The following is a 24349-nucleotide window of genomic DNA, read 5'->3' as shown; positions in this document are numbered from 1 at the left end:
CCTAGTAGGAGAGAGATGAAACTACTACCTCACAATAATGATAATAATAGTGTTATTTTTTGAAATTTGTCTTCCTGTATTCATATGTTGAAACTTAATCACCAGTGTGATAGTATTAAGATGTGGGAACTTTAGAAGGTGATTCATTTATGAGGGTGGAGCCCTCATGAATGGGATTAGCGACCTTATAGAAGGGCTGGAGTGAACTAGGTAGGCCCTCCTACCCTCTGGTCTTTCTACCATGTGAGGACATAGCATTTGTCTCTTCTGGGAGACTCAGTAGCAAGGTGCCATCTTGAACTTCCAACCTTCAGAACCGTGAGAAATAAATTTCTAGTCTTTACTGGTTATCCAGTCTCAGGCGTTTTTTATAGTAGTGCAAATAGACTAAGACAAATAGCAACTGCTCATTGAAATTTACACCAGGTACTTAGGTGCAGCTTCTGCATATATTAATTTTCATACTCAGAGCAACTTTACAAGTTGTTAGTGGTATTATGACCAATTTTCAGATGCAGAAATTAAGGCTTGGAGAGGGTAAGTACCTCATCTGAGGCCATGAAGGTGGCAAGCGGAGCTAGTAAGTTGCAGAGGCTGACATTAGAATCCAGTTCCCTGAGGCTCCAAAGCCCATGCCCTTTGCATTGCATTACGCAGTATCAGAACGAGTTTGGGGTTAAATTGTGACTACAATATGTCAGGAGAGACAGGGCAAAGAGCTCACTACACGTGTGTGTTGCCTGATGTGTACAGCCTGCTCCTGTCAGATACATGTTTTCTCCAGAGAAATTTGCCCCAGTTGGAATGAGAGTACATTGATTAACTCTGTGTTTGACAGTTGGTTCTGACTCAGTGATGACCTTCAGGGTAGCCAGTTTGCTGGATTGACCACCCACACAACACAGTCTTTTTAGCCCATAAACATCGTGCCCATGGTTTGATGACATTCTTTCCAGGAATTGTTCATGGTTTCTCTGATTTTATTGTAACCTGCTCTTAGTTGCTGTAGTAGGATGAATAGAGTCACCCCAAGATTTATGTCCACGTGGAACATCGGAATATGACCTTAGTTGGAATAAAGGTCTTGCAGATGTAATTATGTAAGGTTCAAAATGAGATCACACTGGATTAGGCGGGGACCCTAAATGCAGCAAAAATGTCTTTATGAAACAGAAAAGGCAAAGACATAGGGACACAGAGAAGATGGAAGCAGAGACTGGAGTAATGCATCTACAAGCTAAGGAACACCAGGGATTGTTGGCCCCCACCAATCGTTAGGAGAGAGGCAGGGGATGGTTTCTCCCACAGAGCTTCCAGAAGGAAGCAACCATAATGAGCCCATGATTTCAGACTTCTGGACTCCCGTACTGTGAGATAATACACTTCTGTGCTTTCAAGCCACCTGATTTGTGGTAATTTGGGATGGCAGCCCAAGAAATGAATACAGCTGGGAAAACTTTCCCTGATGGCTTCCAATTCTTTACTCCAGGACAATAATGATGATGATAGTAATAAGAGTTTTTTTTTTTTTTAGAGAAATCTAATTATGTGCCAAGAACTTTAATTAATTGTATCAAAACCCCATGAAGCGGTTTTTTTTTTTTATTTTGAGACAGAGTCTCACTCTGTCACCCAGGCTCAAGTGCAGTGGCATGATCTCGGCTCACTGCAAGCTCTGCCTCCCAGGTTCACGCCATTCTCCTGCCTCAGCCTCCCAAGTAGCTGGGACTACAGGTGCCCGCCACCATGCCCAGCTACTTTTTTTGTATTTTTTTTAGTAGTGTCGGGGTTTCACCATGTTAGCCAGGATGGTCTCGATCTCCTGACCTCGTGATCTACCTGCCTTGGCCTCCCAAAGTGCTGGGATTACAGGCGTGAGCCACCACGCCCGGCCTGAGTGTGTTTTACCATTACCTCTTGTTTTATAGATTATGAAAGTGAGGAACAGAAGGCTAAGAAACTTGCCGAGCGACACCTGGAGAATAAATGACAGAATGAGAACTTTAACCCCAGCAGTTGGGTTCTGGAGCTGTCTGACCCTGAGCCTCACCTCTGACCACTTCCAGATTTGCCCTTCTTGTATTTCTCTCTCTTTTTTTTTCTTTTTTTTGAGACGGAGTCACCCAGGCTCAAGTGTAGTAGCACAATCTCGGCTCACTGCAACCTCCGCCTCCCGGGTTCAAGCAATTCTCCTGCCCCAGCCTCCCGAGTAGCTGGGATTATAGGTGCCCACCACCACACACGGCTAATTTTTAAATATTTAGTAGAGACGGGGTTTCACCATGTTGGCCAGGCTGGTCTCGAACTCCTGACCTCAGGTGATCTGCCCACCTCAGCCTCCCAAAGTGCTGGGATTACAGGCGTGAACCACCACATGGGGCTGCCCTTCTTGTATCTCTTATTGGTATCTGGGTTCCCATCTCCTGCATTACATTTTTCTTCACAGGGCTGGTGCACTTGGCACGGTGTGGACCCCATATCAAATCCAGAGGAGATTTGATTTTGAGCAATGTGGTCACCATGGCCATGTGCTGGGCCAGGCCACACCCAAAGGAGCCTTGGAAATATACAGACCCTGGAAATTCAAGGGGGTTGTGTAAGGGATGTGGAAAGGTCAGGTGGAATAGAGGACTCATATACAGGCTGGGTGGCTGACAAAACTGAAGCCACCAGCCATCATTATAGAGCCCTGGGAGATGCCCAGATGTTAGCTCCCCAAAGGAAATATTGAATAACAAACTTTATCAGGAGTCCCAGTACAGCTGGGCATGGTGGTTCATTCCTTTAATCCTGCACTTTGGGAGGCTGGGGCAGGAGGATTGCTTAAGGCCAGGAGTTTGATATGAGCCTGGGCAACCCTGTCTCTACAAATAATAATATTAATAAAAATAAAAAAAGCCAGGCATGGTAGTGTGTATGCCTGTAGTCATTCAAGCTACTCAGGAGGCTGAAGAGGGAGAATAGCTTCAGCCCAGGAGTTCAACGGTACAGTTAGCTATGATTGTACTGCTTCACTCCAGCCTGGGCAACAGAGTGAGACCCACTCTCTTAAAAAAAAAAAAGATTCCCAGTACAGAATTCACAAGAGTGTTTTATGCTGTCCTTCAAAACAGAGGCATATGACTGCTTTCCCTCATCTGAAACTGAATGAGAGGTACTTCTATCTTAGTCTCTTCTCATATCTCAGAAAGTTGGGGAACACTGGAGTGGTTACAAGACAGATCCTGCAAGCCTATATTAATAATTTCTGTATTTGAAAACACTGTATAACCAGCCATAATATGATAATGCAGGTCCAAATAATGAAATAGCATAAAATATAGAGTCCTTTAATTTTGAGGTTAATGGAAAACTTTCTTTCAGCAGATGTTTACTGTCACAATAAGCACAAAAGTAAAGATAGTGAAACTATATTGTTCACACATAAATGAACCTGCGAACATCCCAGATGATTACAAGACATTACCTCCCAGCCTAATGTTGCACTCCCCATCAACATCCTGTACCCCAATAAGAGACTCATCCTGTTTAGGAACAGGGCTGGACAGAGGATGAGAGTCGGTCATCAATTACATTATACTCAAATGCATCTGATTGTGCAGTTTTATACAGCACTTTATAACTTGATTGTTTAAGCCATAAATTAAACACTCAATTCTGCTTTTTTTTGGGTAGGTGTAGTTAGAGCAAATGAATAGGAAATATATCTTTGCTGGCATGTGTTGAGGCAGGAGTGAATTAGGGAATTTTTTTTTCTTGCTTCAAAGCTACAAAAATGAGCAAGATGCTGTCTTTCTGCTTCATAAGTACACCAAGTCCTCACTTAATGTCTTCGGTAGGTTCTTGGAAATTGTGACTTTAAGTGAAATCACATATAATGAAAATGATTTTACCATAGCTATTTGATCTAAAGAAGAGTTAAAGTCCTATGGCATATTTCTGGTCACAAAAACGTCACCAAATTTCTACATAAAGACACAAAACACAATATTAAACACTGAAACAAATGTGAGCTACATATACATTTAAGAAAGATTAATAAAAACAAGTAAGATAATTATTTACCTAATTTTTGGTTAATCAGTGAGTGACAGTGGTCATAATGGCGGGAGGTTAAATCAAAGAATAAATGATTGCATAGCGAAAATTAGAAGGGGCACCTCCTACCACTATACAGTTAAAAAAACGAGCAAATATTGGTGGGCTTGCTGAGTGCTTTCCTACTGCATCAATTGTTGTGTATTTGTATGATTATTGTATGCTATTTTTTATTTACTTATTTATTTATTTTATTTTTGAGACAGAGTCTTGCTCTTTAGCCCAGGCTGGAGTGAAGTGGCGCGATCTTGGCTCACTGCAACCTCCGCCCCCCGGGTTCAAGCGATTCTTCTGCCTCAGCTTCCCAAGTAGCTGGGATTACGGGTGCCTGCCACCATGCCCAGCTAATTTTTTGTATTTTTAGTAGAGACGGGGTTTCGCCATGTTGGCCAGGCTGGCCTTGAACTCCTGACCTCAGGTGATCCACCGGCCTCGACCTCCCAAAGTGTTAGGATTACAGGTGTGAGCCACCATGCCTGGCCTATTTAGTTATTTTTAACCAAACTCATTTTACTACCAGATGTATGGTTATTGATTATTATATATTTCTTGAGACAGCGTCTCCCTCTGCTGCCTAGGCTAGAGTGCAGTGGTGTGATCATAGGTAACTGCAACTTCACTCCTGGGCTCAAGTTATCCTTCCTCCTTAGCATCCCTAGTAGCTAGGACTACAGGCACAGGTCACCATGTCTGGCTAGTTTTTATTTTTTAATTCTTTGCAGAGATGGAGAGGTCTTGTTATGTTGCCCAGGCTGGTCTTGAACTCCTGATCTCAAATGATCCTCCCACTTAGGCCTCCCAAATTGTGGAATTACAGGTGTGAGCCACTGAGTCTGGTCTGACACATTTTGATTTTACAATAATTTGTATTCATTCATTCATTCATTTATTTTCCAACCCACTTATTTCAGTCCAGGGTTGAGGGTGGCTGGAGCCCATCCTGGCAGCAGAGGGCACAAGGCAGCTAACAGCCATGGACAGGGCACATCTCAGAGCAGAGCATGCTCACACACACCCCCACACTCACTCAGATGAGGATCATTTAGACACGTCAATGAACTTCAGTGCACAGCTTTGGGATATGGGAGGAAACCAGAGAACCTGCAGAAAATCCATGCAGGCCTGAGGAGGATGTGCCAACTCCACACAGACAGTGGTCCAGCCAAGAACCAATTTTTTTTTCCTCATCCATCTAACAAAACGATGATGAAGGAAACAATTTTATTTGTGGACCTGCTATATCTTGAGTTGTCAATTTTATTTCCAGTGAAGTTAGTAACACATTAAATGTCTTTCTTATTACTCCTAGGGGCTTAAACCCCTCTGAATGCTAAGGTACTTAGGAGGGGCTATATTTCCAGCTGAGGCTGGCCCTCTGTTCTCCAACTACACATTTGCCTCTCTGTCCTGGTATTTTGGGAGATGTAGGTTATGGGACCGTGAACTCATGTGAGCACCTAGTCAAAACCTACTCAGAAAAGGGCAAAATGCCAATGGAATAAGGTCCTCCCCAAAGTCCTGCTCTCTGTGAGGGATCCTCTTGGGATCCTCCCTGGCAGATCTAGCCCCATGAATGGTCCATGCTTGGCATTAGGGAGAAAAATAAATATAAAATACAACTGTTTATCTTCCCCAAGCCTTTCCTGTTTCCTATTGATTAGCAGTGTTAAGGATTGGCTTTCAAGTACTCTGTTCCCTGACATTTAAAAAGAGCTAAGCTGGCTGGGTGCGGCAGCTCACGCCTGTAATCCCAGCACTTTCAGAGGCTGAGGCAGGTGGATCACCTGAGATCAGGAGTTCGAGACTAGCCTGGCCAACATGGTGAAAACCCACCTCTACTAAAAATACAAAAAAAAAAAAAAATTAGCTGGGCATGGTGGTAGGCACCTGTGATCCCAGCTACTTGGGAGGCTGAGGCAGGAGAATTGCTTGAACGTGGGAGAAGGAGGTTGCAGTGAGCCAAGATCGCACCATTGCACTCTAGTCTGGGTGACAAGAGTGAAACTCCATCTCTAAATAAATAAATAAATAAAAATAAAATAAAAAGATCTAAGCCAAATTTTGAATTTTGAAAAACTGCTAATTGCTACTTTCTATACTGTTTGGAAAGGGCCACTTGGACTTGAGATGATGAAGAGAGAGGATGGTAAAGAAGACCATTTTGGAAACTTCTGCTGTGTCCAAAAACCATATTTCTATTTCCACTATGAAATTTTACCATCAAATTGAAGGTATTTATGGAAGAAGGACAGGTAGTTTCTAGTTCTTTTTCTTAGTCACCTTCTTTTACGGATTAGATTCTTTCTGCATTTCTTTTTAAAAATAATTCTATTTTTCATTGATACATAGATGTACATTTTTTTGGAGTACATGTGATAATTTATTACATTCATAAAACTTGTAAAGATCAAGTCAGTGTACTTGGGCTATCCATCATCTTAAATATCTGTCTTTTCTTTATGCTAGAAACATTTGAATTATTCTTTTCTAGCTATTTGAGCTATTTGAAATATACAACAGATTACTGTAAACTATAGTCACCCTACTGACCTATCAAACGCTAGGACTGATTTCTTCTATCAGACTGTAGCCATTAATTAACCTCTCTTCATTCCCATTCTTCCAATTTCCAACTTCTCTTCCCAGCCTCTGGAAACCACCAGTCTAAGCTCTGTCTTCATGAGATCCACTTTTTTCGGTCCCACATATGAATGAGCACATATGATCTATTTCTTTCTGTGCCTGGCCCATTTCACTTAACATAATGGCCTCCAGTCCTATCCATGTTGCTGCAAATGACAGGATTTCATTCTTTTTAATGGATGAATAATATTTCATTGTGTATCTATACCACATTTTCTTTATTCATTCACTGACGGGCACTTAGGTTAAGTCCATATTTTGGATATTGTGAATAGTGTTGCAATAAACATGGGAGTACAGATATCTCTTCAATATATTGACTTCTTTTCTTTTGGATATCTTCTTTGCATTTCTTGATGAAATGATTACAGTGGGTTTCAACCTTGGCTGCACATTAAAATCATTTGGGGAGTGTTAAAAAAAAAATCCCAATAATGAGGATGCTCTCAAGACCAATAACATTAGAAACCAAAGGCTAGGACCCAGGCGTTGGAGTTCCCAGCTCTCTGGAAGAATGCGATGTATAGCCAAGGGCAAAGACCACTGGTTGTAGGTAGAAAAATGACATCTCCTGGTCTCCCTCAGCCAGAGCTGAGCAGTGTTTGGCTAATCCGCCATCCTGTGTTCCTTGGTGCTGCTGATATATTTTGCAGAGGAGCAATTTGAGACAACATACGTGCCTCACAAGACAGCAGTAAATGACTACATCATAAAAAACAGAAAAACAATTTAAAAATCCTTTGATAAATTGGTGATACAGGAACAAGGTTTTGTCCTATCACAACATTCTAGTCATCTTTAATTGAGCTTGAAGGCCTCAGCCTGCTGAATTCCAGTCATTGTCTTCTACTCGCAGCCATCAAAAAACCCCCTCTTCTCAGGCTTTGGCCCTCTTTCTCTTTTAAAGAAATCACTACTGCTTTTAAACACAAGCAGCTTACACAGTCACAGACAAAAATAAAACCCAATTGTCAAAAACATAGCGGAAGGCCGGGCGCGGTGGCTCACGCCTGTAATCCCAGCACTTTGGGGGCCCGAGGCGGGTGGATCACGACGTCAGGAGATCGAGACCATCCTGGCTAACACGGTGAAACCCCGTCTCTACTAAAAATACAAAAAAAAAACAGCCGGGCGTCGTGGTGGGTGCCTGTAGTCCCAGCTACTTGGGAGGCTGAGGCAGGAGAATGGCGTGAACCCGGGAGGCGGAGCTTGCAGTGAGCCGAGATCGCGCCAGTGCACTCCAGCCTGGGCGACAGAGCGAGACTCTGTCTCAAAAAACAAACAAACAAACAAACAAACAAACAAACAAAAAAAACCATAGCGGAAACACTTGTTTTGTCTGTGGAGGAATAATAACGTCCTCACATTTGGGGCAATAGAAGAAATTATAAAGGAGAGAGCTGGCAGCTTTGATCATGAAGACAGAACATGGTGCTACCCACAATAACTAAATTACAATGCCAAAAATTCTTCATTAGGGAAGAATTCCAAAATATAAAAAAGGCTTAATATCCACAATGTATAAGGAACTTATCTGAATGAATCACAATTCAAAATATATATGTACAAATAAGTCAGTCAGGAAAGACTAGCAAAAAATGACTGAAAATTATTCAGCCTTACTAGAAATTTTAAAATTGTAAATTAAAAGCATGAACTTGTACCGATTTAATTTGCAAAAGAATAATAACTAATAAAAATTGACATGAATTTGGTACACTTTGACATTGCTGGTGACAATATAAATTGGATTAATTTTTATGACAATAAAATACTTAATGTATAATCAGCAATCTTTTTATTTTTATTTTTGATTTTTAAACTTTTAAGTTCAGGGGTACATGAGAAGGTTTATTATATCGGTAAACTCAGGTTTGTTGTACAGATTATTTAATCACCCAGGAACTATCCAACAGTTACTTTTTCTGATCCTCTCTCTCCTCCCACCATCCACCCTCAAGTAGGCCTCAGTGTGTGTTTTTCCCCTCTTTGTGTCCATGTGTTCTCCTCATTTAGCTCCCACTTAAAAGTGAGAACATGTGGTATTTGGTTTTTTGTTCCTGTGTTAGTTTGGTGAGGATAATGGCCTCCAGCTCCATTTGTGTTCCTGCAAAGGACATGATCTCATTCTGTTTTATGACTGCATAGTATCCATGGTGTGTATGTAACACATTTTCTTTATCAAATCTGTCACTGATGGGCACTTAGATTGAGTCTATGTCTTTGCTATATAATCAGCAATCTTACAATTTTATACAAGGTAAGTTTCCTTTGTAAAATAAGTTCAAAAAGAATAGAAATGTAGCTTAATGCAATAATGTTTATCACCTACTATAGAAAAATAGTTATATAAGTTTCAATGCCCTAAAGTAGAAAACTGCAAATTATAGTAAATTATAGCATTTGATCATGCAGGTGTACTACACAGCTCTGAAAAAGGCAATTATGAATAGTATGTAATAACATGAAAATATTTAAAAATGTGCAATGAAATTAAAATATGAAACTACTTATGTTGATTATAACTATGTACAATAGTATGTGAAAAGAAAAGTAGCTAGAAGAGAATATGTAAAAATAAAATTAGCTGTACTAGTGCATGAGATTATAAATTATTTATACTTCATTTAAAGTTTCCTAAGGAATTTAAGAATTTTTCCATCACAAAAATAATGTATACTTTTTGATATGAAGTATTTGAAAAATAGGAAAACAGAATGAAGAAAAAAAATCTTCCAGGACGGGTGCGGTGGCTCATGTCTGTAATCTTAGCACTTTGGGAGGCTGAGGCGCGCGGATCCCTGAGGTCAGGAGTTCGAGACCAGCCTGGCCAACGTGGTGAAACCCCGTCTCTACTAAAAAGACAAAAATTAGCCAGGCGTGGTGGTGGGCGCCTGTAGTCCCAGCTACTCGGGAGGCCGAGGCAGGAGAATCGTTCGAACCCGGGAGGCGGAGGTTGCGTGAGCCGAGATCGCGCCATTGCACCCCAGCCTGGCGACAGAGGGAGACTCCGTCTCCACAAAAAAAAAAAAAAAAAAAAAAAAAAAAATCTTCCAAAATTCCAGGACTTAAAGGCAACCATGCCCACACAACGCTGGGGCCGGCGCCGCCGCCGTGCTCGCCCGGACGTTCCCTTCCCGCCGCCCCGCCCCCTCCCCCGCACCAGGAGCAACCTGTAGCGGGAGGGCGAGCGCGGCGGCAGCACCTGTACTGGCTCCAGCGCGGGTTCCGGCGGCGTCCTGGAAGAGGAGGTCCGGACACTATCAGCGGCCTCCCCATGGACATTAAACCCAGAGAACCCTACTTGATCTTCCGGCCGTTCAAGGGGTATGAAGAGTCCCTACTCAAGCTCACCGCGAGACAGCCTGTTTTGTGATCTTTGACAGCGGGGCAGGAGCAGAAGCGGCCAAAAATGCGCTGAACGATATTCGCTTAGATCCCGAAAACCCACAGATCATGAGGCTAGAGTTTGCCAAAGCCAACACCAAGATGGCCAAGAGCAAGCTAATGGCAACTCCAAATCCCACCAACATGCACCCCACCTAGGAGCACACTTACTTCATCGCTCGGGACCCCTATGACCTGATGGGGGCTGCTCTGATGCCTGCATGCCCAGAGGCCTGGGCCCTTATCCTTTGTACACCACAGAGCTGACCCCAGCCATCACCCATGCTGCGTTCACCTACCCAGCTGCCACTACCGTTGCCGCCGCCCTCCATGCCAGGTGCGCTGGTTCCCTTCCTCTGACACCACCCAGCAAGGATGGAAGTATCGTCAGTTCTGTTAGTTCTTCAGTCTGGTCACCGGGGAGTTGGTTCTGGGAATCTGTGGTGGTGCCGGGACAGGCGCCCTGAGCTCCCACCGCCCCCGCCCCCGGGCGGCCTGTGCAGAGCTGCCGCTGCCCCCCAGAAATTGTGAATCCTAAGCCTGACACAGTGGACTCCTTCCTGTTTCCCCTTCCTCCTCTTCCTCAGCCCTTTTCTGCACACTCAAGCCTTTCTCCAACGCCTCCCAGGAGGATTTGGGGACCTTCTCGCTGAGGCGCTCAGATCCAGCTCGGAGGATCACTTGGACCCTGCAAGGCCTGACCTCCCACCCAACTTTGCTTCGGTAGCTCCCGCTCGAGGAAACGAGGCGTTTAATTTTGCATGTTTCCTGGCACGAATGAAGACGCTTACGCTTGTGTATATGTGAGTGTACAGTTTGTTTTCACGCTGTCACCATAGCAACAGGTCCTGGCCCCCGGTGGTTCATCCTGCCTGGCCTCTCTCTGCTCGCCTCGCCCCTGCACCCACCACGCTTCAGGGAGGCCCGAGCCCCCAGCCCCGTGGCCCCACACGCTTCCAGACTCAGCGCCTGCCTCCACCCAACAGATAGATGGCATTTGCCTTTTCCTTTCAAATTGGGCTTCTCTGCTCCTATCTCCTCGGATGCGCCAACAGTCATAGGAATGCCCTCTCTGCCGTACTGTTCACCTCTCCACAGTCACTCTGCCTGCCGCTGCTCCTCATTCTTTCCAAACCTTGAATCAACCAAAACGTGAAAAGTATTTTTGTACTCTGTAACAAAATATTTATGCATCGCATAAAAAAGGCAACCATTATTGTGATATGTTACTTACAGTGAAAGTGTGAGGGCTAGAAGTTCATAATTCATTTTTGTTTTTGTTTTCGTTTTTTTTGAATGGAGTCTCATTCTGTTGCCCAGCTGGAGTGCAATGGTGTGATCTCGGCTCACGCCAACCTCTGCCTCCCGGGTTCAAGCTATTCTCCTGCCTCAGCCTCCAGAGTAGCTGGGACTACAGGTGCGCACCACCACGCCTGGCTATTTTTAGTAGAGATGGGGTTTCACCATGTTGGCCAGACTGATCTCGATCTCCTGACCTCAGGTGATCTGCGTGCCTTAGCCTCCCACAGTGCTGGGATTACAGGCATGAGTCACTGCGCCCAACCTCACAATTCATTTTTATTTTAGGAATTTAAATAAAGTATGTGATGATTCTATTTCATTATGCTATGGGGAACACATATTAAAATGGCTACTATTAATGGTGGTGATAACTAATTTATTACATCCCGTAATGAATTATAATTTACTTTCCAAGGGTTCCTTCTTTCTGCTGCTGGTTGTATTTAAATTACTCACCCCCTGCCACCCTCTGCTATCATTTCTCAAAACCTTAAATATCATCCTAGATTTAGAGTTACCATTTTAGACATGTGCTAGTCCAAAGACAATTCCTTTAATCCAACTAGAGTTTAGAGTAACTGCTTGGGCCCTGATGCAGTAGCACAATTTCATTTCACTAAGTCCTTGGCTAGGGACTTTTCTTCCTGTTCCATGTTAGATGCTGCTAAGTAACCAAGAGACAAACTAGGTCCTCAAGGCATGAATAAGGAACCCAGAAAAATACTCTGGATAATGTATTTTTTACTCTAGATGTTTTTCCTTTCAAATAGTTTTTATTTTCACTTTGCTTTTCTCTCATTATAATAGTAATACATGTGCATTGTAGAAACCTTGAAAATTTGAATTTTAAATTAAATCACAAAGAAAGAAAAAAAATTCACCTGTGGTTTTAACACTCTAAGACAAATCCTATCAAGTTTTGGTATATTCCCTTCCAATCTCTTCCTGTACATCAATTGATGTTTAATGTCAAAGTCGATTTCTCAGCATAGATGGAAACTTAAACATCTCTGGTTGCCTTGGGAAGGAAGTTGGTTCTGATGGCCCAGAAGCTCCCATTCAGCCTCATCTTATAATGGCCTTTCCATCCCATTCTCCAGCCACACCAAATTCCAACTGCTTTCCTAGGTGCTGTTCAAGCATCATCATCATTGGACATTCTCCCAAGGGGTATCGTCTACACACCCTCATCCATCCTCGTTGCTTTTCTTATTTGTTTGGCTGGTAATTTCTAGGTGCTGAATTTGTGGTGGGCAGATTATAATATGCATGGGGCACTAACAATAGCAAGGGACACTCACAATGTGGAGAACATCAGAATAATTAGAACACACCATTTTAATTTCAGCCTACATGTAACTTTTGTGGCACTTTGAAAACCATAACTTTATTTTGTAGTCTAGCAATTTCTTTTATTTTGAGAGGTCCTAAGCACAGAGGATGAAGTGTGCAGGGTGGCGTGATGGAGTTTAGAGCCTCAGGCTTAGCTCTGGAATGACAAGCCTTTCAAGAGTCTACCACCTCTGAAGGAAGACTGATGCAGTCCTTCCTTTACTATGTATGCCTATGTCTTCTCAGTTATTACACTGTATTATATTTCATTGTTTACAAGCCCCTTTCCTTGTTAGACAGTGAGCTCCATGAGGGCAGGACCGTGCCTTGTCATTCATGGGATTTTGGCCTTATTATTTTCTGTTGTACTATGGTTAATTTTTTTGTTTTGTTTTTGTGATCATTCGTGACTAGGTATACTTCAAAATCCTACTGTGAAAAAAACCCAAAATTTCCACATAATGTTTACTTTTTATAAACATTTTAAATAGAATCTTCCCCTATTAGCCCATGAAAATATTTAAGAGGCAAAAGAAGTTTAAAGTAAAAGAATGAGTAACTTTTATAGTAGAACTTGGGAAATATTTGTTGAATAAATATAGTATGCTGCGTGTTTATTTTTAGGTGGAAATGCAATCTGTAAGCCCACTTTAAATTCTTGGATCTATATATTTATAATTAGTAAATAATAGAAGAATGTTCACATTGGTACAAAAGGAAGAGGGATCTCTCTCTCTCTCTCACTGTATCATCCATATTAATATAAAAAAGAAGGCAATCCAGACTTAGTTTTTCTCTTCAGGAACAATGTAACACTAATGGAAATCTAAATACTTTACAGCAAGATAGCATTACTTCACATGTCACTTTTGGATATTTCACACCTATCACCTTTTCCAAACTGACATTTATCCCAATACTTTATATTGCTGGTACTGTAGCAACAAATTGTAAAATCTCAATCATGTGACCATTGTTTACTCAATTCTGAATCTTAGGAGATTTGGAGTAATAGCTTACAAGTGAGTTTTTTAAAATTAAGAGTTAGAAAAATCATCTCACTGAGTTCCCATAGAAATAAAAGATAATGCTATAATAACAATTTTGATGCATCTGTGAACACACTCTCACTACATTTTTTTTAGGCTGTAGAAATGATACAATATTTGAAAAAAATTCTGAAAATTAGTTTTTATTGAAAAAAAAGCCTCTAGGTATCCATATCTGCAGCACATATTGGTTTCAAAGTTAAATATCCTTTTGAGCTTTTAAAGCAATATTCTAAAGAGCTAATTTTAATATTTTGAACAGGTAATTGCATTTTCCATGCATTTTTGCCAAAGTAGATGCAATTTGGAGAGCAAACTTTTTTTTTTTTAGTGGAATTGAAGATTACAGATTGATACAGATTGCATAACTTAGCACTGGGATTACTTGTTATTTTTATTATTTTTTATTTTACTTATTTAGTATTATGACATTCTTGACATAAAAATTTGGGACCTAGAATAAATAATCTTAGTACTCAAAACAGAAATGAAGGACACATTCAAATGCAGTATTAGAGGAAGTGTAGCTTACCTTTTTTTTTTCTAAAGAGATAGACTTAGAGCTTCCTATGAATACCACATTCTGAAAAAATGTCCTCATATGTCTTCAAAACTCTCTCAGCTCTATGGGAGGCTTTCATAGCAAAGAGAAAATATGACTAGCCTTTGACTGAACTTGATTACTTTTTGTTGGCCTGGACTAACTGACTTTTTTGGCTTTCATCCACAATAAGGATTATAGTTTATGCTGTGATTCAGCACACACACATACAAAGATGCACACATACACATATAATTAAGACAGAAGTTCCTTTCTGGGTTAAGATGGTAGATTGAACATATACAGCTAATCTTGCTCATTTTGAAAAACCCACTAAAACTATAGTGATGAAATACTTTAAAAAAAGACATAAACCCATAAAAGAAGAGAAAAGGAAAGGAGATGACAACAACATAATTTTGGAAGTGGGAAAGCAGATGGACAAGTTAGGTAACTGACTAGCTGACACCAGAGAGAAAACCCTATGCCAACACTGAGAAAAGCTAAGAACAACAAGATTTACACTTTGGAAAACTCAAAAGGCTCAGGAATTGGCAACGTTAGGTACTTCTTGATCCAAGCATAAAGAGGGGATAACTAAGATAAGGAAGGTTGCGTGCAATCTCTCCCAGACTCCTGGGCATATGGTCCTCTCCTATTCCAGCAGAAGATAGAAATCTTTAGATGAGAGTTCACCCCTTCATCCAAAGATACATCCAACACAGTCAAAGGACAGGTATTAAACCAAAAGCTGGGGTATTAAGTGATCATACACAGATTGAATGTTGAGGATCCACCACAACCTGCTCGTTATCGTAATAATGGTAGTAAGACCTTTTCCCTCTAGGAGTTTGAGTAGCTACTCTCTGGGGAATCTGATCAGTGCAAGAAAAAAGAGCTAAAGATACTGTTGCCAGGAATTCCCCCAAAAGTGGTTGACTCAGGTCAACCTATGGTGAAGATCAAAGTTAATCAGCTCTAATACACTCAGAAACTCCAGTCACCCTTCTAGTCTCCAACATTTTATTATGAGAAAACATTCAATTTACTATGTATCTAAGGAAATCTTCCAGTACAAAAATGGAGCTCAAAAGCAACTAGAAGGTAACAGAAACTAAGGAAATGAAAATTTCAAAACATTGTCATTAATATCTTCACAGATATAAGGCAAAATACTCTATCCATGCAACAAAAATAGGATACTAAAATAAAAGAACCCTTAGTCAAAAACAACAAAAACAAAGGACCTTAGAAATGATAGCAGAAATGAAAATCTTAGTAAGAGGTTTGGATGATAATATTAGCTAAAACTCCTAGAAAGTAGGACAAAAAGACAAAGAGGTAGAAAATGAAAGAGGAAGGATAAGAAAATCGGGGCCAGTATGCAAGTCCAACTTTCAAATAACAGATTTTCATATCTTTATTATGAGAAATATCTTCATATTTTCTCTCTTCTTTCAGAGAAAATGAAGGGAGAAAAAAAAAACCCAATAAGATATTCTAGAATGGATACGAACTATTTCCAGACATACAAGCTCTTAAAAATTTTGCCTTCCAGACACTCTTCTCAGGAATGTATGATAGGATGTACTTCATCAAAATGGCAAAGTAAACGAAGAGAGTGGGAGACACAGCCACAGAACAGGGTGACACAGAGAGACGCAACAGGAGTCAGCAGGGTGACAGGGAAGGAAAATTCCCGTGTGAAAGCAGTGTGTCAGGTGGAGAGGGAAATTGGTCCAGATAGGACTAGTGTGAATTGAGGGACAGACACATTGACAGCTGTCATCATCATGCCTTCTGTCATCATGTCATCTTTTTATGTAAAAAAAATTGGATTTTTACTGTCTGAAATAATGGAGTGAATCAAGAAAGACAAAAACACAAGATCCTGAAAGCTGAGAATCCAATCTAGAAGAAAATAAAAGGGAATTCAAAAGATAATGGCTGTGCAGTAGGCTTAGAGAGCAGCCAGCTCAGGTAAAAGGAGAATGGAGGTTTCCAGAATGTGTTCTCAAAGAAAAGTCACAATGGGACTGATTGGTTACCTGACGCAATTTACCTTGTGGAAAATATTACTGAGAGATTATTGAAGATGTGGGAAGAATTATGAAAACAGCAACAATGAACAAGGTATTTATTTACTACAGGAAAAGCAAAAGGTAAGAAACAACCATAGTGCAGTGTAATATGTATACATAATGTAGATGCTGAATTTTGACTTCTCAAAAAACTATAGTGACTTACATTGAAAGGTTGGGAGGGTCTGCAGAAGGAAGAGTGAAAAAAGAGTGAAATCTTCATTTACCAGAATAGAAAGTAAACAGTATTCAAAATGAATTAATCAGAAGTTAGCAGTACACTCATATTATTGGAAAAATATGGAGATATGTAAATATCAAGAGGAATAACTAAAATAAATAGAAAATGGCTGCTCCTGGAAAGGTGGTCTAGGGATAGAGTGGGAGAGTTGAGGAAGAAAATCATTATATTCTGTAACAAAGGGCTTATATCATTTGACTTTTATTATTTTAAATTGAACTTTCAATTTTGAGGTAATTGTAGATTCACATGTAATTTGTAAGACATAATACAGAGATTCTGTGTACCCTCTATTCAGTTTCCTACAATGGTAACATCTTGCAAAAGTATAGTGCAATATCACTGCCAGAATATTAACACTGATCCAGTCAAGATATAGACATTTCCGTCACCACAAGGAGTCCTCATGTTGTCCTTTTAGAGCCACACCTCCTCCCTCCCAGCTCCCACCATGATTACTGGCAACCACTAATATGATATGCATTTCTATAATTTCAAGAATGTTACATAAATGGATATACACACACACACACACACATATATATATATACACTTCCCACACTACATTAATGTATACAGTAATACTTAATAATTAATGATATGTGATCTTTTGGGATTGGTATATTTTCACTTAACATAATTCTCACAAGATTCAGCTGCATTGTTGTGTGTATCAATACTTCACTCATCTTTACTGCTGAGTAGTATTCCATAGCATGTATGTGCCACGATATGTTTAACCTTTTGCCTATTGGTTAAACTTTTCAATAGACAAAAGGTTAAACAAATTGTGGCACATACATGCTACGGAATATTATTCAGCTGTATTTTAAATATATATAGTACATATATAATATATGCAATATATTAATATATTATATGTAATATAATAATATATGTAATATATAATAAAATATATATTATATATATTAATATTACTCTGGGTTGTTTCCAGTTTTGGGTCATTACAAAGAAAGCTACTACGACCATGCATATATAGGATTTATGGGAACATAACAATTTCTCTGGGCTAAATACCCGAGAATAAAATTACTTGGTCAGATAGTAACTAACTGAATAGTTTTAAGAAACTACTAAACTGTTTTCCCACCAGCAATGTGTAAGTGATCCGGCTTCTTTGCATCTCCCCCAGCATTTTGTGTCATCCCTAGTTTTTTTTGTTTCAGCCATTCTGGCAGGTGTGTAGTGATATCTCCTGTAGTTTTAACTGGACTTTCCCCATGGGGCTAATGATATTAAACATCTTTTCTTGCACTTGTTTGCCATGTTTATATGCTCTTTGGTGAAATGTTCTTCACGTTTTCTGCCTATTTTCTTATTCAACTGGTGTTTTTTTTTTTTTCCCCTGTGGTGTTTTGAGGGTTCTTTATATATTCTAATCAGATATGTCATTTGTACATATTTTCTCTCAGTTTGCAGCTTGTTTTTTCATCCCCTTAGTCTCATTTGCAGAGCAAAGGTTTTTAATTCAATGAGATCCATTCTATCAGCTTGCCTTCCTTCCTTCCTTCCTTCCTCCCTCCCTCTCTCTCTCTCTCTCTCTTTTTTTTTTTTTTTCGGAGTCTCCCACTGTCGCCCATGCTGGAGTACAGCGGCCCAATCTCGGCTCACTGCAGCCTCCGCCTGCCAGGTTCAAACGATTCTTCCGCCTCAGCCTCCTGAGTAGCGGGGATTACAGGCAACTGCCACATCGCCCAGCTAATTTTTTGTATTTTTAGTAGAGACAGGGTTTCACCATGTTGGCCAGGCTGGTCTTGAACTCCTGACCTCGTGATTTGCCTGCCTCAGCATCCCAAAGTGCTGGGATTACAGGCGTGAGCCACCACACCCAGCCTATCAGTTTTCTTTTTATGGGTAGTGCCTTTGTTGTCAAGCCTAAGAACATTCTGCTGAGTTCTGGATCCCAAAGATCTTCTCTTACTTTTTTTCTAAAAGCTTTATGCTTTATATTTAAATCTGTGATTCATTTTGTGTTAATCTTTATTACTTGACCTTTAAAACCAGGTATACATATACCACTTTGGTAAAACCAAAAATCTTTGAGTAAAACCTAAAAGGCTCAAGAAATGACACTGGCTCTTATTACTTGTGATGCATTCTATAATATGTATTTCCTATTCTGTCCTATCCTATCCCATTTTACAACAGATATGCCCATCTCATTCCATAACTTCTCATCCCATCTTGTTTCATTTCACTAAAAGAATGCTGATCATAACCCATTCATTTGATTTCATGACACTCTACCATAGCTTGAAAAGCATGGTAGATACAGTATTTTCTACCTGGTTCACATCCCTCAATTTTACTTTTCAGTATGTCTTCTTTCCTAACTTTTCTTTATCACCAGTTCTATCTCAGATGTTTAAAACCATCACCCACTGCTCTTTGACACAAAAAACAAAAAACTATTTTTCCTGAGGTTTATTACTTGCTCCCTTCTCAGTGCTTCCCTAGGAGGTGACCAGAACTGCACACAGTCTGCATTTCTACGTAACATGAGTCCTAAGAGAGCAAGGGCAGGCTCAACAGCCAGTTGAAATAAATTCTGGGAAAATGAGAGGCACTGTTGTTGTTTTCTCACTTAAGTTCTATGCCTTTTTACAGTCACATCAGAAATAGAACATCATCTCCTTATCTCAGAAAACTATATTCTCAGTGACTTTCTGAAATACTTTTTGATCTCAACAGTCATTACAAACTTTTAGTATATGGTTGATTATACCTATGGCAGGTAAAACATACTGTGCACAGGGCCTGCAACCACAATAAACTAGGTTGCTGGGAGATTCAATCAAAATAATTATCGACCCATGTTTACCAAATATGCTAACCAGTACTTTTTTTGTGATTTGGTAAACTTGATTTTTCATTGTGTTTGTTCCCAGGCTTGCTAATTAGCAACATTCAGAAACACTAATTCACACTAATGAGGGAATCTATTCTGTAAGATACCACTGCACTTGAGTATTTCTCTTCACAATCAAAGACCCCATTTACACTGAGTAGGTAATTCATGCATCCTCAGCATCTTAAATTACATTAATTATGATATGAATGTCTCTAAGATTCTCTCTTAAAGATTGTCAATTAACCTTACTTACTGGCTAGCAGAAATGCTGGCAAAATTTCTTGGAATACTTCCTGACATTTAATTAAAAGGAATTTCTCTGTTTTGAGTGACGGTGTGAAGCACTAGAGAGTTTTCAAAAACAATTAATAAGGTCTCTACTGCTAAAATTGCTGATCATACATCTAGTAACTGCCCATAAGGTGAAAAGAAAAACACATTAAAATTTGTTTTCTTTCTTCTTTTTAATTGCATATGTTATATATACTATCTTTATTCAAATGGAAACACTAGAATATGTTTTTATATGTTCCTTAAAAATTATTGCAACTGTAAAACAGTGGAGGAGTTTCATTATCTTCTTAGAGTCACTCAAATACTCACTTATTTGAATGCCTCAAACACTTGCTTATTGCTGAACTGTGATTCAGCAATAACGATTTTAATAATGTCATACCGTTTGCCTCTGTGATGCCTCTCATTTGTGTGTGGGCTTTTTAAAACCCCCAAACAATTTTTATTAATAAAGCTTAATTGATTCCTGAATAATTAAATAGTAAACCATTTATTTGTTCACAATGTGTTCATTATTCATTCATTCAAAATAAATATTTTCCAAACTTCTATTATTTGCCATGCACTGTGCTGTCATATAGTAAACAAATGTCTCTCTCTCTCAGAGTAACTGAAGTATTTCTGACAAAGGCAGTATTTCCACTGCCTTTATCTTTAATAAAGGAAGCGGTCCCTGATACATAGTATTATTTCTGTGATTACATGAATTATTCAACATGAGGACTCTTAAAACTCACTCCAAGGAATAAAGGACTAAAGTTTGTATAAGCATATAACTTTTAACGTTCCATTTACCACAGGTAGAAATTGCCATCAAGTACTGGAAGAAGGGAAGACAAATACATGCAAATTAAGCAAGTCCAGGATTTCAATTAGTCAAAATTAATGCAGAAATCAGCATTAATTAATTAATAAATAATAACAATATATTTAATATATTGAGCACCTATTCTGTGCTGGGCATTGTACAAGAATTTTACACACATTATATCTTATTATTACTCACGTAACCCTATTAGGTAGGTATCATTTCTACCACCCTAAAGAGAGAGAGAGAACAAATTAAAGTGGCAGTGAGGTTAAGTCGTTTGTCTCATCTCACCCAACCTAGTGGGGGAACTAGGATTTAAAACAAGTTCTGTTTTACTCCAAAACCATGCACTGTGTCGGATTAATTCAATTTTCATAAGAATTTCCTTGAGAACATACTATAGTCATAGCACTATTAGTATCCCAATAGAAAACAAAGACATAAAACTCACAGCCTGGTGAAAACAATTTTTTAAAACTCACATACAAAAACCAATTTTTATGGATTTTTATAGTTTCAATAGTATATCACTGAAGTGTTTGTAGCAAAAGGGAGGTAAACTCATAGACTAGAATGACTGCCTTTATTAGAACCAAACAGTGAGATAATCCTGGTGAAGCCAAGTGGTCAATCACATTCAGATCACTGGGATAGTCACTGCTCCACACCTGACATCATCTCAGATAGCCTTCTCACATGTATAATTGAACTAGTCAAACTAGATGAGATCAATGAATTGCTTTTTTTTTTTTTTTTTTTTTTTTTTTGAGACAGGGACTTGTTCTGTTGCCCAGGATGGAGTGCAGTGATGCGATCATGGCTCACTGCAGCCTCAACCTCCTGGGCTCAAAAGATCCTCCCATTTCTCAGCCTCCCAAGTGGCTGGGGCTATAGGCCTGTGCCACCATGCCCAGCTAATTTTTACATTTTTTGTAGAGATGGGGTTTTGCCATGTTGCCTAGGCTAGTCTCTAACTCCTGGGCTCAAGTGATCCACAGGCCTGGGCCTCCCAAAGTGTGGGGATCACAGGTGTGAGCCACTGTGCCTGGTGATGAATTGCTGTTACCATTCTAAGCTAAAACAGTACTTCATCTTAGGGAGAAACATTCTGAATCAATGGCAAAATGACTGAGAGGGAGTTATGTAATCCTATCTCCACAAGAACGAGATCTGTTTCCTTTGAACCATATTCAGAGATATCTGATTGCAATCAAGGCAGCCATGTTTTATAATGACCCTACAAATTGCAGAATCACAAATCTATATTGTTAATCAAATCTGCTGGAGAATTCTAAATAGATCTTGATATGGTTTCGCTCTGTATCCCCACCCAAATCTCATGTTGAGTTGTTATTCCCAATGTTGGGGGAGGGACTGGGTGGGAGGTGAATGGATCATGGGGGTGGATTATGGTTTAAAAGTGTGGCACTTCCCCCTTCACTCTCACTTTCTCATTCTCTCTGTCTCTTTCTCTTCTGCTACCACGTAAAGACACGCTTCCTTCCCTTTCGCTCTTCTGACATGACTGTAAGTTTCTTGAGGCATCCCAGGCGTGCTTCCTGTACAGGTTGTGGAACTGTGAGTCAATTAAACTTTTCTTTATAAATCACCCAGTCTCAGGTAGTTCTTTATAGCAGTGTGCGAAAAAACTAATACAGATCTGGTAAATTTTTCCCCAACTTTCAACTCTTATTCAGCTAGCAGTAATAGTGCCAGGAAATGCCAACATGTTAACCCCAAAATCATCTGGACTAACTTGTCTAGAGATGGTAACATAAGCATTGTTTAAAAAAAATGGAAATTACTGTTGCATACCTTAATTGACATGTGAAGGTATAGGGAGAGAATATTTGTAGTGTATGCAATGATAAAGGGAATAAATTGAGCAGACTTGCCATATTTACTGAAAAAGAAGACAATAAATCATTTCACTAGCAGTTAACATACAGCTGGTTTATACTGTTTCATTAGCAGCATGAATTATATGAAAGAAAACATGCTAAGCAGCATGCATGGTAGAACATAAAAAGCTTTGAACTTAGACCTAAGTGCAACTTCAAACCCCAGTTTTGGCATTTAGACTGAATTATGTGGGCAAGTTATTTACATTTTCTGAGTCTCAATTTCCTTATCTGCAAAATGGCTATGTGTGTATTAAATGAGCCAATTCATAGAAAATGTCTAGCCAATGCCTCGATACATGAGGTGCTAACAATGCTATTTTCCTTTTCTTTCTTAGGCTCTTTGAGTGAAGGATACTACAGGGAGAAATAAAAAAGTCAATTAGACACTGACACTGTCTTCATAGAACCAACAGGATGTTGAAAATACTAAAAGCAAATAAGCTTTAAATGGCTGGGATGGTAGATTGCAATACTGGCCACGACACTTGCAGCTTCTCACATGAAGAGGTGGAATCTCTTTCTCTGTCTCTTGCATGTGGGCTGTCCTTGCCATTTGCTTTGACCAACAGGACATAGTGGACATTATACTGTGATAGGTTGAGCCTGAACTTCAAGAGGCCTTCAGATATCAATGTACTGCTCTTGGGAACCCACCACCACCATGTGAACCAGCCCAGCCTGCTGGAGGATGAGAGACCACATGAGCAAAGAGCAGTAATTCTAACTGAGACCACCTTAGTCCAGTCAGCACCAGCCAACACAGCAGCTGAACACAGAGCATGAGTCAGTTCACTTAAGACCAGAAGAACTGCCTAACAGAATTGTGGGCTAAACAAATGGTTGCTGTTTTAAGCCACTAAATCTGAGGGAGAGGGTTAGCTATGCAACAGATAACATGAAGAGATATAGGGTCATGACATTTTTCAATCAAAACACAAAATTATGGGAACAATAGTTTCAAAAGAGTTTTGGGAATGATTAGTCATCAATTCCAATAGAACGATGTGGTATAACAATTGCTACTGCATTAGATTAATGAAAGACGCAAATCTCAGGGTTTCATGTGCAAATGATTCTCTTGGTAGCTGGAGGTAGAGAGATTAATTTTTCCCAGGTAATGTTATTCTGAGGTTTCTATGCTTTTGGAGTTCAGAAATTGTTGTTATGCATTATACATGGCAAAAGAAGAAAAAGATGGCAAGGGAAGAAAAGCCGAACAAATTAGATGTTGAAAATAAAATACCTGTAAAAGCAATTTGGGACAATGTCAGGGAGTTTTATACTGCAGGTAGCAAAAAGCAAAGCCTGGGTAACTCATCTCTTTCCCATGTCAGTCATCCATTGCAGAAAAAGGATCCTGGCCTTTACTTAACCTTGTTTCCCCCCTTCTTTACCAAGTAGAGCACACCATGAAAGCGATTAAATATAATTTTAAAATTGTGTCATATTGGTTTCTGTTTATGCAGCAGACAACTAAGTGTGACTTTGAAGGAAATAATTTGAGATATATGAAGGAAAAATCACCATGCAGCTGAAAAGTGCTTCTCTTAAATATGGGCTAAATTCTGTGATTTGTGTAATGGTTAATTTTGTGCTTATTTTGTGCGAATTTTGGACGTCACCCACAGGTTATTTCTGAAAACTATGAAGTCTGAAGAATGAGGAAGGTGCCTTTTGTTCCCCTCAGTGCCAATCAATACTGTAACTGAGGTGGGCTGGGGTGGTAAAACTTACAGACAAACAGTAAGTTCTTTGGGGTGACAGTTGTCACGCCTCCTCCCTGCCTTCTAAATG

General features: G+C 39.8%; 1 protein-coding gene and 1 pseudogene across 7 annotated transcripts in view; one reads left to right on the top strand and one right to left on the bottom strand.

The window, feature by feature from the left end:
- KCNQ5 (potassium voltage-gated channel subfamily Q member 5) overlaps positions 1-24349 on the bottom strand; it is a 576790-nt gene that overhangs the window by 30809 nt on the left and 521632 nt on the right. The window lies entirely within an intron of this gene.
- RBPMS2P1 (RBPMS2 pseudogene 1) lies at positions 9820-10725 on the top strand (annotated as a pseudogene).

Source organism: Homo sapiens, chromosome 6 (genome assembly GCF_000001405.40).
Source record: "Homo sapiens chromosome 6, GRCh38.p14 Primary Assembly".
Lineage (NCBI taxonomy): Eukaryota > Metazoa > Chordata > Mammalia > Primates > Hominidae > Homo > Homo sapiens.
The sequence above is the reverse complement of the archived record's forward strand: the minus strand, read 5'-3'. Positions and strand labels throughout refer to the sequence as shown.